The sequence below is a fragment of the Homo sapiens genome, chromosome 1 (genome assembly GCF_000001405.40).
Source record: "Homo sapiens chromosome 1, GRCh38.p14 Primary Assembly".
NCBI lineage: Eukaryota > Metazoa > Chordata > Mammalia > Primates > Hominidae > Homo > Homo sapiens.
The window spans coordinates 31974473-31991262 of NC_000001.11; the positions used below are offsets into that span (position 1 = coordinate 31974473).

The 16790-nt window shown below is 47.0% G+C and overlaps 1 annotated feature.

Moving 5' to 3' along the window:
• Nucleotides 10881-10950: an enhancer, noted in NCBI's record as "active region_667". NCBI's record gives its function as "activates an Ori minimal core promoter by ATAC-STARR-seq in GM12878 lymphoblastoid cells {active_cell/tissue: GM12878}" and the evidence as "EXISTENCE:reporter gene assay evidence [ECO:0000049][PMID:35858748]".

A 16790-nucleotide genomic window follows, 5' to 3' on the forward strand; every position in this document is an offset into this window, starting at 1 on the left:
CGCCTCCCAGGTTCAAGCGATTCTTCTGCCTCAGCCTCCCAAGTAGCTGGGACTACAAGTGCAACGCCACCACATCCAGCTAATTTTTTGTATTTTTAGTAGAGACAGGGTTTCACCATGTTGGCCAGAATGGTCTCGCTCTCCTGACCTCGTGATCTGCCCGCTTCAGCCTCCCAAAGTGCTGGGATTACAGGCGTGAGCCACGGAACCCGGCTGAGATGTTTTTAAAATGTCCAAAGTTTCTCAGGGGAAAAACACTTGATGCTGTGATGTTAATCACATCACCTCCCCAGGCCTGTTTTCCCACCTGCTTTCCTCTCACTGAGCCCTTTCTCCCCATAAGGACCTCTCCAGGCACAAGGGCCATGACCCTGATTCTTCTCAGCTTCTAGGCAGCAGAAGAAATAGCTCAGGGACCCTGTGCAACACAGAACAATGAAAATTCTGAAAAAATGCTGGAACCAACATGAAGAGAAAAGTCAGGGAGCATAAAAGGAGAGAAGCTACCACTGAGTTCCTACTGGGCAAGGGGCTATGCTAGATGTTTTCAAGAGTGAGAAATTGTTGCAAGATTTAAACATGTGTCCACGCAACATTTGGCTCAGGGGCTGGCACACAGTATGTGCACAAAGAGTAAAATAAATTTTTGCTGTACTATTTGTATTATATCTCTTTTAATCCTCACAATACCTTGCAAGCTAGGCTCCAACTGAGAAGCAGTTTGGTAGAGAGGTGTGTGTTCTTCTGTCAAACAAATCTGGGTTCACATTCTAACTCTGCCATGTCTAGGCTTTTGTGGCCCTGAGAAAGCCTGTTGTCTTGTCTTGTCTTGTCTTTTTTCTTTTCTTTTCTTCACAGAATCACGCTCTCTCGCCAGGCTGGAGTGCAGTGGCGTGATCTCGGCTCATTGCAACCTCCGACTCCCTGGTTCAAGTGATTCTCCTGCCTCAGCCTCCCAGGTAGCTGGGATTACAGGCACGCACCACCACACCCAGCTAATTTTTGTATTTTTAGTAGAGATGGGGTTTCACCATGTTGGCCAGGATGGTCTCAATCTCCTGACCTCGTGATCCTCCCACCTCGGCCTCCCAAAGTGCTAGGATTACAGGTGTAAGCCACCGGGCCCAGCCCTTTTTTTTTTTTTTTTTTTGAGACGGAGTCTTGCTCTTGTCACCCAGGCTGGAGTGCAGTGGCATGATATCAGCTCACTACAACCTCCCCCTCCTAGGTTCAAGCGATTCTCCTGCCTCAGCCTCCTGAGTAGCTGGAATTACAGATGCCTGCCACCATGCCCAGCTAATTTTTATATTTTTAGTAGAGACGGGATTTCGCCATGTTGGCCAGGCTGGTCTCAAACTCCTGACCTCAGGTGATGCGCCCACCTCGGCCTCCCAAAGTGCCTGGATTACAGGCATGAGCCACTGCGCCTGGCCCACTTTACTTTTCTGAGTCTTGGTTTGCACATCTATAAAGAGGGGGAAACAATGAGAGCTACCAAACAAAGATTCATCTAAAACCCTCGATGTAGGTCCTGGCACACAGTAACTGCTCAATAATCATTATTCTTAATAGTATTGGAAGAAAGAACACAGAAGTTCCAGAGGTTAGGTCATTTATCCAAGTTCACATAGCCAAGTAGAATACACTCATGGAGGCCAGCCTCAGTGGCTCACGCCTGTAATCCCAGCACTTTGGGAAGCTGAGGTGGTGGATCACTTGAGGTCAGGAGTTTGAGACCGGCCTGGCCAACATGGTGAAATACCATCTCTACAAAAAATACAAAACTTAGCCGGATGTGGTGGCAGGCACCTGTAGTCCCAGCTCCTTGGGAGACTGAGGCATGAGAATTGCTTGAACCTGGGAGGTAGAGGCTGCAGTGAGCCAAGATTACGTCACTGCACTCCAGCCTGGGCGACAGAGTAAGACTTTGTCTTAAAAAAAAAAAAAAAAAAAAAAACAGATTCATGGTTTGGGCCTACTCAGCATCTGTGCCTTTCCTTTCCTTCTGGTGAGAAAACCTTGACTTTTGGGAATTGCCTGCCCCTACTATCAGGCCTGTTGACTTAGGTGGGGTCAACACACCTCTTCCAAGCTCTAGAGGCAAGACATGACCCACATCTGGCCAATTACGTGTTCCATCCCTCTGGTCACAGTGACTGGTTTGAGGTAGCCTTGTGACTCATGCCAAGTCCATGAGAATACTGGAACTTTGTCAGATCCATTGGGATAGAGATGAACCTTTCTTTTTTGTTTGTTTTTTGTTGTTGTTGGGGTGGGAGTTGTTTGGTTGTTTGTTTGCTTTTTTCTTTTTTTAAGGCAGAGTCTCTGTCACCCAGGCTTGAGTGCAGTGGTGTGATCTCGGCTCACTGCAACCTCCGCCTCCCAGGTGCAAGTGATTCTCCTGCCTCAGCCTCCTGAGTAGCTGGGACTACATGCACCTGCCACCGCACCCAGCTAATTTTTGTATTTTTAGTAGAGATGAGGTTTCACCATGTTGGCAGGCTGGTCTTGAACTCTTGACCTCAGGTAATCCACTCACCTCAGCCTCCAAAGTGCTGGGATTACAGGCGTGAGCCACCGCACCTGGCTATGTTTGTTTGCTTTTTGAGACAGGGTCTCCGTCTGTCACCCAGGCTAGAATGCAGTGGTGCAATCACATCTCACTGCTGCCTCGACCTCCCAGGCTCAGGTGATCTTCCCACCTCAGCTTCCCGAGTAGCTGGGACTACAGGCATGTGCCATTACACCTGGCTAACTTTTGTATTTATTGTAGAGATGGGTTTTCGCCATGTTGCCCAGGCTGATCTTGAGCTCCAGGACTCAAGCAATCCACCCACCTCGGCCTTCCAAAGTGCTAGAATTACAGGTATGAGCCACTGCACCCAGGCTGAAATGAACCTTTCTTTGGACTTGACACTGGGAGGATATAAGCTTGGAGCTGCTGGAAGTTGCTAGGTAGAGAGAGTGCCCGAATGGAAAGCACACCCAGAGGAACTAGAGCTGAAGGAGAGAAAGAGACTGAAGCTGCCAACTCTAAGTAAGCTCTTGCCTAAACTCTTGAACAAACATGTCTAATGTCTGTACATCGTTTCGGGTACATGAAGCAATAATGAGGCAATAATTCTCTCTCTTTCCCTTAAGACAACCAAAAGAATCCTTATTTGGCAAATGTATCAGTCAGGGTCCCAAGTGAAAACAGATGACACACTAAAATTAGAATAATTTGAAGAGGGTTTATTTACGATGGTGTGAGTGGGTGCACAGAAACCATAGGGACAGCACAGTGGCCCGGGGCTAGCAACACTTGAGGAGCTGCCACCACCCTTAGGCCTGAAGGGACAGGGGAGAGCATTTCCTGAGGGAGGGAATTTTGGAAAAGAGGCCTCCTTAAGAAGAGCTGTGACTGCCCATCAAGGATACCCTGTCAACCTGTAGAGGGAGCAAGGGAATAACTACCCAACTTCTCTCCCTTCTGGCCCCTCAGACCCAGTGTCCCCAGTGGCTGAGCCCAAGAAGGAGCCAGAAGGCAAAGCAGCCTGCTGATGTGTCCAGACAAGGCAGACACAGAACAGGACAGAGAAGAGTGAAGCGTGGGTCTGCAGGGGCAGATGGGAGATGGCTGGCTCTCCCAGAAAGCAGCACAGCCTGGTCTGACTGTCTCTCCACCAGCCCCGTGATGGCTGGTGACAATTTGGAATCTCAGGCCAGAGGGTTTTTTTTGTTTTGTTTGTTGTTTGTTTTTGAGACGCGGTCTCGCTCTGTCTCCAGGCTGGAGTGCAGTGGCACAATCTCGGCTCACTGCAACCTCTGCCTCCCAGGTTCAAGTGATTCTTCTGCCTCAGCCTCCTGAGTAGCTGGGACTACAGGCATGTGCTACCACGCCCAGATAATTTTTATATTTCTAGTAGAGACAGGGTTTCATCATGTTGGCCAGGATGGTCTCGAACTCCTGACCTTGTGATCCGCCCGCCTCGGCCTCCCAAAGTGCTGGGCTTACAGGCATGAGCCACCGCGCCTGGCCTGTTTGTTTGTTTTTAAAGGGACAGAGTCAGGGCCGGGCACTGTGACTGACACCTGTAATCTTGGGAAACACCTTGGGAAGCTGAGGCAGGTAAATCACTTGAAGTCAGGAGTTTGAGACCAGACTGGGCCACATGGTGAAACCTCATCTCCACTAAAAATATATATATACAAAAATAAGCTGGTGGCACATGCCTGTAATCCCAGCTACTCCGGGTTGAACCTGGTAAGCGGAGGTTGTAGTGAGCTGAGATCGCACCACTGCATTCCAGTCTAGGCAACAGAGCGAGACTGTCTCTAAATAAATAAATAAACAAATAAACAATCAAAGGCACAGGGTCTTGCTTTGTTGTCCAGGCTGGTCTTGAACTCCTAGACTCAAATGATCCTCCCACCTCGACCTCCCAAAGTGCTGGGATTACAGGCATGAGTCACTGAGCCTGGCCAGACCAGAGTTTTCAAACTCTCATCATTCCCTTTGGTCTTTTCTATACATCTGTGTCCCTCCTTCCCTAGAGAAGACCCTATAGGAGGTTGGAATTCTGAGAATCTGGAAAGAATCCACAGACCAGCCCAGCTTACTTTGCAGGAGGTAGAAGCCTCTAGCTCAGCCTCCCAGTGACCAGAATCCTGGGCTGACCCTCAGGCCTCACCCTGCCAGTTCCCTTGCCCCACAGACATCTCTTTGCTTGCCACTGTGGCCCCAGTCACCACCAGACAGCAGCTCCGTGACTTTCCTTTCTCTCCATAGGAGATGTCTGTTTCCTTCTGTAGCCAAGCCAGAGAAGGTTCTGGGATTCCCCACTACTGGCAGAAGCCCACAAGTGCCCTGAGGACGGGGCTGAGTTGCATCCAAGTATCTCACTTTGGTCACGCAGACACCTGTTCCCTCTTTCTTTTATTCCCAAGACACTCACCCTAATCTTCATTGCCAAAATGAGTTACTCTCCACCTTTCAAATCCAGTTTAAACCTTAGAATCTTTCAGTTTCAACACCAGAGGACATACAATTTAAAAAATTAAAAAAATTAAAAAACGGCTGGGCATGGTGGCTCACACCTGTAATCCCAGCACTTTGGGAGGCTGAGGCGGGCAGATCACGAGGTCAGGAGATCGAGACCATCCTGGCTAACATGGTGAAACCCCATCTCTACTAAAAAATATAAAAAAATTAGCCGGGCATGGTGGCGGGCGCCTGTAGTCCCAGCTACTCGGGGGGCTGAGGCAGGAGAATGGCGTGAACCTGGGAGGCAGAGCTTGCAGTGAGCCGAGATCGCGCCACTGCACTCCAGCCTGGGCGACAGAGCGAGACTCCATCTCAAATAAATAAATAAATAAATAAATAAATAAATAAATAAATAAATAAAAATAAAACAACTTAGAATTTCCTCAGAAAGCCTTCCTCATCAGTTCTTCCGACTCCACTCTTGCTATTATGACAATTATTATCAGAAGGACTTCTGCACATAAATACCTAATAATAGCAACTAACATGTACTAAGATGTACTAAGTGCTATCAGCCCATCGCTGAGCTATTTGCAATACAGAAACCATCTCATTTAATTTTTACATCCACCTTGTAAGATATGTGCTACCGATATATAGAATATGTTGTGATTGGTAGCCCTGGACTGTACCATGAAGCGACCTTAGGAGCAATTACTTTATCCATTTCCATGGAAAAAAGTGAGGCTCGGAAAGGATAAATTACTAGCTTAAGTTCACACAAGCAAGCAAAAGGCAGAGACGAAACCTAAACCCAGGTATGACCAACCCCAAAGCCTATATTCTCTCTCTGTCTCTCTTTTTTTTTTTTTTTTTTTTTGGAGACAGAGTCTTGCTCCATTGCCCAGGCTGGAGTGCAGTGGCGCAATCTCGGCTCACTGCAACCTCCACCTCCCAGGTTCAAGTAATTCTTCTGCCTCAGCTTCCCAAGTAGCTGGGACTACGGGTGCCCATCACCATGCCCAGCTAATTTTTGTATTTTTAGTAGAGACGGGGTTTCACCATGTTGGCCAGGCTAGTCTCGAACTCCTGACCTCAGGTGATCCACCCAACTCAGCCTCCCAAAGTGCTGGGATTACAGGCATAAGCCACCTTGCCTGGCCAAAGTCTATATTATTAAGATTGCAATATTTTACTATGTCCCAGGTATGTGCAGTTCCAGAGTTAGGTAGTAGCTGGAGGAGTTTCTGAATTTTCTGTGTAACGTGGTTATATACGTGCTAGAATCGCAGTCAGTGAACTTAATATGCAAATGAAATACTCTGTACACTGTAAACAATGTTACCTCTCAAGTTTTTGCAGCAAACACCACCATTATCCCTTTGGAGTTAAACCCGCTTGGCTACCACCCTTGCTGTCAAACCCCCATGAGATGCCAAACACTTGAAAAGGGTTTCATCGGAGATGTCAGTGTGAGATTAAGAACACACAACAGATGAAATAGAGAAAACAAGGGAATTCACTAGCAGTTACTGGTAAGACGCTCAGGCTATTAGCCTGTCACACTCCCCACTGCCAGCAAAGCCATCTTTAGCCACTTGGAAACCTGGCCTTGCTTTCACTTCCTTTGTGAAATGTCCCGGGTGGTATTTTCCCCACAGTGTAAACAAGTCCTTTTACATTAATCAATTCATTTAATTCTCACAAAAACACTATAAAGTAAGTACTGTTATCATCTCCATTTTACAGATGACGTAACTGAGGCACAGAGAGTCTAAGCAGTTTGCTCAAAGTCACATGTGACATATGGCAGTGCTAGATTCAAACCCTTAAGTTACTGCGGAATCTGTGCTCTCAAAAACTACTACTCAGGCTGGGCGCAGTAGCTCACAGCTGTAAACCCAGCACTTTGGGAGGCTGAGGCAGGCAGATCACCTGAGGTCAGCAGTTCGAGACCAGCCTGGCCAACGTGGCAAAACCCCGTCTGTACTAAAAATACAAAAAAATTAGCCGGGCATGGTGGTGCATGACTATAATTCCAGCTACTCAGGAGGCTGAGGCAGGAGAATCACCACTTGACCTGGGAGGCAGAGGTTGCAGTGAGGTGAGATCACACCACTGCACTCCAGCCTGTGCGACAAAGTGAGACTCCGTGTCAAAAAAAAAAAAAAAAACCACATACACACACACAAAAACCCCTACTACTCTGTAGTTTGACAACAAAGCTAAATGAAGATAATTAGAAAATCCACTATTGCACCAGAATTGCAAAAGGGCTGTGGAGATATGTTTTTTTGTAGAATCTATGTGCTTTAGTAATGTGGAAGGGAGATCTCCCACCAAAATGTGTGGTGAGGTAGGCCTGGGTCACTCCCCAGACCAGGATCCCCCAGGCTCCAGGCTTTCATCTTAGCCCTGTAGTAACCCCCTCAGAAAAAGAATGCTTCTTTCCCATTTGTTCCAGCAAAAATCCTAAGATTGCTCTGATCAACTACCTTGGTTCTGTGCTTAACATTGACCCAGTTACAGAACTAAAGGATGGAATATGCTGACTTGTCGGGCCTGGGTGATATGCACATCCTTCTCTGCAGCCACACCCCAACACACGGAGCAAGAATGGAGAGATGGCTCCTAGCGAAAACTAGACTACTGAGAGGAGGGGAAAGAATGCTGAGCAGGCAAAACAACAGATGATCCAGGGATTCAGGCATTGACACTGGTAATTATAAGCCAGTGTGATAAATGACTTGACAGGAAGGAACTGGCACTGGAAGACAGCAGAGGAAACACCTAAACCAGAGGAAGTGGCATGTAAGCTGAGACCCAAGGAGGAGGTATCCAGGGCAAAGAGGGTGTGGGGTGGGGAAAGGAAACAGGCTGTGCATATTTTTATTTCCTTCCCTCCCTCCCTCCCTCCCTCCCTCCCTTCCTTTTTTTGAGACAGAGTCTCGCTCTGTCACCCAGGCTGGTATGCAGTGGCGTGATCTCGGCTCACTGCAACCTCCGCCTCCCAGGTTCAAGGGATTCTCCTGCCTCAGCCTCCCAAGGAGCTAGGATTATAGGCGCCTGCCACCACCCCTGCCTAATTTTTGTATTTTTAGTAGAGACAGGGTTTCACCATGTTGTCCAGGCTAGTCTCGAACTCTTAACCTCCAGTTATCCACCTGCCTCGGCCTCCCAAAGTGCTGAGATTACAGGTGTGAGCCACCACGCCTGGCCACATTTCTTGAAATGTGTGAGATTGGGGCCTAAACATTCACAGAGTCCGTGAGGATGAAGATGATGGGCCAGTCTGGGTGCCCTGGAGTGGCCTGAGCAGAAAGGAAGGAAAATGGATTAGGGGCTGAAGAGGAGATGAAGCTTTTAGTTTGGATATTGATCCTGAGGGGCACATGGGTCATTCTGTTAGAGATATCAAAGAGCCAGCTGAATATGTGGGTATGGCATTTGGGAGCAGGATCTCTGGACAGAGATCTGGGTGTGATCAGCACAAGGATGACCATTGAATGACCATCAGTTAAGGTCATCAAATGGTTACTGAGTGTAGGAGAGACATCCTTGGGTGAGGGGACCAAGTGGGAACAGACTCTTCAACAAAGACATCCAGATGGCCAAATAGCACAAGAAACAAGCATGTAAAAACATTATTACTGGCCGGGCTTGATGGCTCATGCCTGTAATTCCAGCACTTTGGGAAGCCGAGGCGGGCAGATCACTTGAGGCCAGGAGTTCAAGACCAGCCTGGGCAACATAGCCCGACCTCATCTCTACAAAAAACTTAAAAATTAGCCAGATGTGTTGGCATGCACTTGCAGTCCCAGCTACCCAGGGAGCTGAGGCAGGAGGATTGCTTGAGCCTGGGAGGTTGAGGCTACAATGAGCCATGATCATGCCACTGCACCCCAGCCTCGGCAACAGAAAAAGACCCTGTCTCAAAACAAAAAATATTATTACTTATTACTATGTGGGTAGATACATTAAAACAGTGAGATACCACTACGTACCTATCAGAATGGCTGAAATTTGAAATTAAAACGACTGACAATATTAACAACTGGAATTCTCATACACCACTGAAAGGAGTGTAAACTGGTACAACCACTTTGGAAAACTGGCGGTATTTACTAAAACTAAACATACGTATCCCCTCTGACCTAGCAGTTCCACTCAAATATATATAGCCAAGAAAAATAAATGGTTGAGTCTACCAAAAAGACATATGTAAAAGAATGTTTGTAACAGCATTATTCAGAATAACCAAAAGCTAGAAACAACCCAAATGCCTCCATTGTTATATGTTCATTTGATAGAATACTATACCACATACATAAAAAAACAAGTACTAAGTACTAACATGGATGAATTTTATAGCTATAATATTGAGTGAAAGAAGCCAGAACAAAAATAATGTACACCATGCAATTCCATTTAGAAAAATCTCAAAAACAGGTATAGTTAGTTGATGGTAATGGAGGTCAGAAATAATCGTTTCTATTGTGACAGGGGGTATGTCTGAAAGGCGGCCAAGAGAACCTTCTAGGGTCCTGGAAATAATCCGGATTTTGATCTGGTTGATGGTTATACAGGTATATACATGTATAAAACTTCAAGTTGGGTGTGGTGGTATGTGCCTATAGTCCCAGCTACTCAGGAGCCTGAGGAAAGAGGATTGCTTGACCCAAGGAGTTTGAGGCTGCAGTAAGCTATGATTGCACCTGTGAATAGCCACTATACTCCAGCCTGGGCAACATAGCAAGACCCTGTCACTAAAAACAAAAACAAAAACAAAATATTTTTAATTTAAAAAATCAGACAGTAGGCCGGGCATGGTGAGTCAGGCCTATAATCCCAGCACTTTAAGAGGCCAAGGCAAGCAGATCGCCTGAGGTCAGGAGTTTGAGATCAGCCTGGCCAACATGGTGAAAACCCTTCTCTACTAAAAATACAAAAAATAGCTGGGCTTGGTGGCAGGTGCCTGTAATCACAGCTACTTGGGAGGTTGAGGCAGGAGAATTGCTTGAACCTGGGAGGTGGAGGTTGCAGTGAGCTGAGATCACGCCATTGCACTCCAGCCTGGGCGACAAGAACGAGACTTCGTCTCAAAAAAAAAAAAAAAAAAAACAGAAAGTATTCATCTAGTTGCTCATTTAAGGTTTGTGCACATTACCGTATCTATTTTATACCTAAAGGTGGGGGTGAAGGAAAGTTTATCCCCTCTTCCCAAAGCCAAAATTAGTACTGATCCAGGGACTGTGGATGCTTTACAATTTGTGATATGATGTGACAGTTTCATGAGGCCCATCTTGATGAAGTTCCCCAGGACAAGAGCCTCTCTTTTGATTGTTTTCTCTACTGTTCCAAAGCATCTATACTGGGGCTCAGATCACAGCAGGCCCACAATGTCTGTGACTCAGTATCTGCTTGGAACAGCACACCCAGCCCTTCAGTGTTCAACTCGACACTCACTTCCTGAGTGTCTGCTCTATGCCAGGCCTTGTGCTGAGAGCTAGAGGTACAAACACAAGTAAGACAACCATCCCTACACTTGAAAAGTGGCCAAGCAAGAGGTGGGTACCCCAGGATGAAGGACAGGAACTTGCAGCAGCCAACCCATCCATCAACACATGTAAAATAATATTAGTAACAAATAACCACCATTTATGAACTGCCAGGTGCTTTATGGTGTAACAGATTTTTTTTTTCTTAATTGCTATTTTAAACCACAACTGCCTGCAGCTACTTTTGTCTATTAGGGGAGTGGCACAATTTTTCTCTGGGTAGAGGGTTCTTTGTTTGGGAAAATACTTCATAAGTTGCTTTGGCATGAAGAATGAAGCTCTCCAGAGCTAGGGCAAGACAAAGACAGCTGAACTGCTTTGCAAATTAGAGAAAAATGTGGCAGCAGAGGGAGCGGGGGGTCTAAACGCAGAAGGAAGGGAGACATTAGGAGATATAGTTAGAGAGATCTATGTTGCTTTTGTTTTCCCAGGCTCAGTGCTTTAGAGAACCATCCCTTTGCCTTACTAATCTTACTTATTCTTCAGGTTTTACCCTTCAAAAATCACTTCCTTATACCACACAGCCACCAAAAAGAATGAGGTGAAGCTCTCTGTACTAACATGGAAAAAATGCCCTGGGTATATTGTGAAGTGGAGGCAGGGGAAGTCACCAGCTGGATAGGAGCGTAGTAACAACCCCGTTTTTAAAGAGGACGGCCCTGTATATGTACTTACACTTGAATACATTTGGAAAGTCCCCCGGAAAAGTACATAACACTCTGTTAACAGCTGTTACCACCAGGGAAGATGGTGGGGAGTAATTTGGAGCTTCTGATTTCAATTTTTATCCTTTATTTTTAAATATTTTACCATGAGATTTTATCTCTATTTGTTTATTTTTTTATCTGTTTTTGAGACAGGATCTTGCTCTGTTACCCAGGCTGGAGTGCAGTGGCACCAACACAACTCACTGCAGCCTCAACCTCCTGGGCTGTAAGTGATCCTCCTGCCTCAGCCTCCCAAGTAGCTGGAAACACAGGTGTACCACACCAAGCCCAGCTCATTTTTTAAAAACTTTTTTTTGTAGAGACTAGCCACTACACTGCAAAGTGCTGGGATTACAGGCATGAGCCACCTTACCCAGCCCGAGACTCTTAAAAACGGGGTAGGCTTGGTGCAGTGGCTCACGCCTGAAATTCCAGCACTTTGGGAGGCAAGGCAGGAGGATTGCTTGAGGCCAAGACCAGCCTGGGCAACAGGGTGAGACCCCTGTCTCTCTGAAAAATTTAAAAATTAGCCAGGCATGGTGGAGCATGTCTGTAGTCCCAACTACTCTAGAGGATGAGGCAGGAGGATCACTTATAGCCCAGGAGGTCAAAGCTGCGGTGAGCCCTGTTCATGCTACTGCACTTCAGCCTGGACAGCAAAGCAAGACCCTTTCTCTAATAAAATAAAATAAAATAAAATAAAATAAAATAAAATAAAATAAAATAAAATAAAATAAAATAAAATAAAATAAGGCTGGATGTGGTTGGTCACTCACACCTGTAAGCCCAGTACTTTGGGAAGCCAAGAAGAGAGGATTGCTTGAGCCCAGGAGTTCAAGACCAGCCTGGGCAACACAGTGAAACCTCATCTCTATGACAATACATTTAAAAATTAAGGAAAAAAAAAAAGCCAAGAACCTAATTTCTATCGTAGGTCAGGTTCCCGTGGTATCCTGCTGTCCTCCTTTGTGACATTTGGTACCTTTGGAATTGCCTGCCCGTTGACTTCCCCATCCCTCCACCTCCTGCACCCACTCTGTTCCCCTTGGCTCCAAGACTACAGGGACCAGGAACGCCTAGCAAAGTGCTTGGTTTAGCAGTTGACCAAATGAATGAGTTCTCCCACCTTCCAATGACTTTTCTCTTGCCTGGGTTTTGATTCTTCCAGAGAAAGGAGAGAACAGCTCAGCTCCATCTGTGTGTGCCGCCCAGGCCTGGCTCACACAGTTCCTGCACATTCCCCACCCAGGGCAGGGTGAAGATGCCCTCTTTCTTGTCCTGGAGAGAGATGTAAAAGCAGTAGCTCCTGCTGTCTTCACTGCCTCAGCCCTGGGGGACACCAAAATGCCTGAGACCACAACAACCTGTGAGAGGTGTGAGCAGGTGGCAGAGCCAATTACAGGAACAGGACTGGGCATTCTGGCTGACCTTGGCAGAAGCTTCTCTTCCATCTTCCTTTTATTTCTAGCAGCTGGGGGAGGAGGGAATGAAGCCCTAATTGCTTTCACCTTGAGAAAAATCTGCGGCTGACCATGTGCAGAGAGAATCATTCTGTCACACAGCAGGGGGGCTCGAAATTAGATCAGATCAGGAAGGCTGGCGTTTTCCCTGAGGCTCTCGACTAACGACCAAGGGGAAGAGAGGCACTTGGCCTAACGCCCCTCCTCACTCTGCCCTACCAGTCACACAGTGATAGCTGAGCTCTTCTCTTCTGCCCAGAACTCCACAGGGAACTCCCCATGCCTGCCCCCTCCCCACCCAGGCTGCTGTGACTAACGTGTGCCTTCACTAGGTCTTGCCCAGGCCACAACTCAGGCTGCTGGGTGAGAACTAGAGCTATTCTCACAGGCCCCCAACTGCCAGGCAGATGCCTCTGTCGACCCAGCCAGCCTGTCCCTGCCGAGTTCAGACAGGAAGGCGAGGCTGGCCCCTGGAACTACCAGGGAGAGACATCGGCCAGCCACATATGCCTGATTCTGCCCAGACACTTCTAACAATTGAGGCAGTGGGTGAACTCGCATGCTTTCTCCATCCCCGATGAAAAGCAAGTTCAAAAGCCACATACTGTCCTCAAGCCCTGGGGGAAGCCAGGACCCTGACAAAGAGGAGGCATTGTAACTCGATAGAGCAGTCTTGAGTGATACTGATGCAGTAGAGTCAACCACCACACACTCAGCATTGGAGCCACCGAGAATCATCCAGAGCGCATGTGATACTGACGTTAAGCAATTAATGGCATACAAAGCTTCAGAGCACTAGCTGGTCACCTACTGGATCCCGAGTAGAAATTTTCTGTAAGAAATTCTGGGGAAGGCCGGGCGCGGTGGCTCAAGCCTGTAATCCCAGCACTTTGGGAGGCCGAGGCGGGTGGATCACCAGGTCAGGAGATCGAGACTATCCTGGCTAACATGGTGAAACCCCATCTCTACTAAAAATACAAAAAAATTAGCCGGGCGTGCTGGTGGGTGCCTGTAGTCCCAGCTACTCAGGAGGCTGAGGCAGGAGAATGGCGTGAACCCGGGAGGCGGAGCTTGCAGTGAGCCGAGATCGTGCCACTGCACTCCAGCCTGGGCGACAGAGTGAGACCCCGTCTCAAAAAAAAAAAAAAAAAAAAACTCTGGGGAGGGCCAGGCGCAGTGGCTCACACCTGTAATCCCAGCACTTTGGCAGGCTAAGGCGGGGGAATTGCTTTAGCCCGGGAGTTTGAGACCAGCCTGGGTAGCAAAGCAAGACCCCACCTTTACAAAAAAAAAAATTAGCCAGGTGTGGTGGCACATGCCTGTGGTCCCAGCTACTTGGGGGCCGAGGTGAGAGGATAGCTTGAGCCAAGGAGGTCAAGGCTGCGGTGAGCTGTGATCACAACACCACTGCACTCCAGCCTGGAGCAAGCAAGAATTTCATTCTAAAATTAAAAAATAAAAATTCTGAGGAGGCAATAGAAACTGATAGCTTCATACATAGCCCACTGCAACAACTTTCTGGCTATGTGACTTCGATGGTGTCACTTAACCTGTCTGAGCTTCAATTTCCTCACTGCAAAATGAGATTAATAATACCTACCTCAAAGGGCTGCCATGAGAATGAAGTTAATATATGTAAACTATTTAGTGCAGCATGTTGCTCAGGAAGTGCTCACTAAACGGTCACTGTCCATATTATTATTTTATTTTATTTTATTTTATTTTATTTATTTATTTATTTTGAGACAGAGTCTCGCTCTGTCGCCCATGCTGGTGTACAGTGGCGCAATCTTGGCTCAAAGCAAGCTCCACCTCCTGGGTTCACACCATTCTCCTGCCTCAGCCTCCAGAATAGCTGGGACTACAGGCGCCCGCCACCACGCCTAGCTAATTTTTTTTTTTTTTTTTTTGTATTTTTAGTAGAGACGGGGTTTCACCGTGTTAGCCAGGATGGTCTCGATCTCCTGACCTCGTGATCTGCCCCTCTCAGCCTCCCAAAGTGCTGCTGGGATTACAGGCTTGAGCCACCGCACCAGGCTTTTTTTTTTTTTTTTTTTTTTTTTTGAGACGGAGTCTCGCTCTGTCACCAGGCTGGAGTGCAGTGGCGTGATGTCGGCTCACTGCAACCTCTGCCTCCTTGGTTCAAGCAATTTTCCTGCGTCAGCCTCCTGAGTAGCTGAAATAACAGGCACACGCCACCACACCCAGCTAATTTTTGTATTTTTAGTAGAGACAGGGTTTCACCATGTTGGCCAGGATGGTCTCGATCTCCTGACCTCGTGATCCAACCCCCTCAGCCTCCCAAAGTGCTGGGATTACAGGCGTGAGCCGCCATGCCCCGCCCATATTATTATTATGGAGCCATCAGTGCACACTGCAGTATGGACACTGAGGAGAGATGGTGTATGGTGGGGACTTTACGACCATGCAGACCTGGTGTGAAATCCTGTTTTCATTATTTCTGCCTTATGTGGCCTTGGGAGAGTTAATTAATTTCTTTAGGTTTCAGTCTCCCTCTGTAGAAAGGTATCGATAACACCTACCTTGTCAACAGGATAAAGTCCTGTTATTACCAGGGCCCAAGCATGCAGAAGATGCTCAGGAAATATTAGCTGCTGTGGGTACCGAATCATCATCCTCTTTCCGGCATCCTTCACCTTTTTCATGTGGTAGTTTTTACAGAGAGGTGACAGTCTCCTCAAAGTGATTTACTGTGGAGGAGCATATTGATTTTTTTCAAAGCCAGTGGTCCCTTTCCTGTCCTGATTCTTCTTGTCATCTCTACTATTTGACCTGGTGGCCACCTCTGAGACCTCCTCCCCCTTGGTTTTCTTGACTCCAGTACCCCAATCTTTGCTTCTCTCTCTCTGTCTCTCTCTCTCTCTCCTCCCTTCTTCACAGTATCTTCAGCTTCCCTAGCCTATTCCACAGTCCTGTGGCCCCCGCATTCTACCTGTTCTCCCCAAAAGAAAGACTATGTCGTCACCAAAACCAAGCTCAGCCTGCCATTCCTCCTGATCTCAAAAGTATCATTATTCTCCTGGCCACCCCGACATAAAGTCCCAGATCCTTCTCTTTTTTCTTTCCTCTCTTTCTGAATCCAGTCAATTGCCATCTGCTTTTTCCTTCAAAATATTTTTCATATCCATCTCCTTCTTTTCCATTTTCCCTCTTGCCAATATCAACTCAGGCCTGATCTAGTTTAAACGTCCAGTTCCCATCCATTCTGAGTATCGCAACCTCACCAAAAGTATCACTTGAAGCTCACCATCAGATATTCTTTTCCTACCACCCTTCCATCTCTATTCGAAATCCTATTAAGACTTTTTCCTTCCTACAGTAGATTCAAGAGCATTCAAGATCTTCCATACCTAGATTTTCTAGAGTTGGCTTTCCATTTGGCCCCAATCCAGATCCTCCATTCTGTTCATTCCTTATCCACCATGTCCATCTCCTCTCCTTTGCATTTGCATCCTCCTCTGCTTGGAGTCTCTTCCCTCCATTTCCTCTCCTATTCAAATTTCACCCATCCTTCAAGGCCTAGCTCAAAACTCAACTCCTTCCTGAAGGCTTCCCTGACCACTCTGGTCAACAGTGGTCACTTCCTCTGAGTTCCCTTTGATGGTGTTGGGGGTGTAGGGGTGGTGGTGGTGAAGAGCTGAATGTCTGAGGAACTGGTCAGTGCTTGCTGGATCACCTGCCTGTGCCTTCAACGTATACCTGAAGGCAGAGATGGTCTCTCCCACATCCTCCTGGATGACACAGCACAGTGATTTGAAAACAGACTTGTGTTCAAATCCTAATCTGTCACTTTCCCACTGGTTGTAACCCACCCTCTCCAAGCCTCATTTTTCTCATCCAAAATATAGGGGTCATAAAGGCCTTATACAGTGGTGAAGACTGAATTATAATGTAAGCAAACGACATGGCACAATGCTTTGCATACAACCTAGAAAGGTAGGAATTATTACAGTTCCTGGCACCCTGCAGTCTAAACATTATTTTTGCAGCCTTGCTCATTTGCATAGCCAAATAGTAATTTATATAGACTGTGACATTTCACTATAGGTATATCTGCTTCCCAAACCTCTTGCTTTTC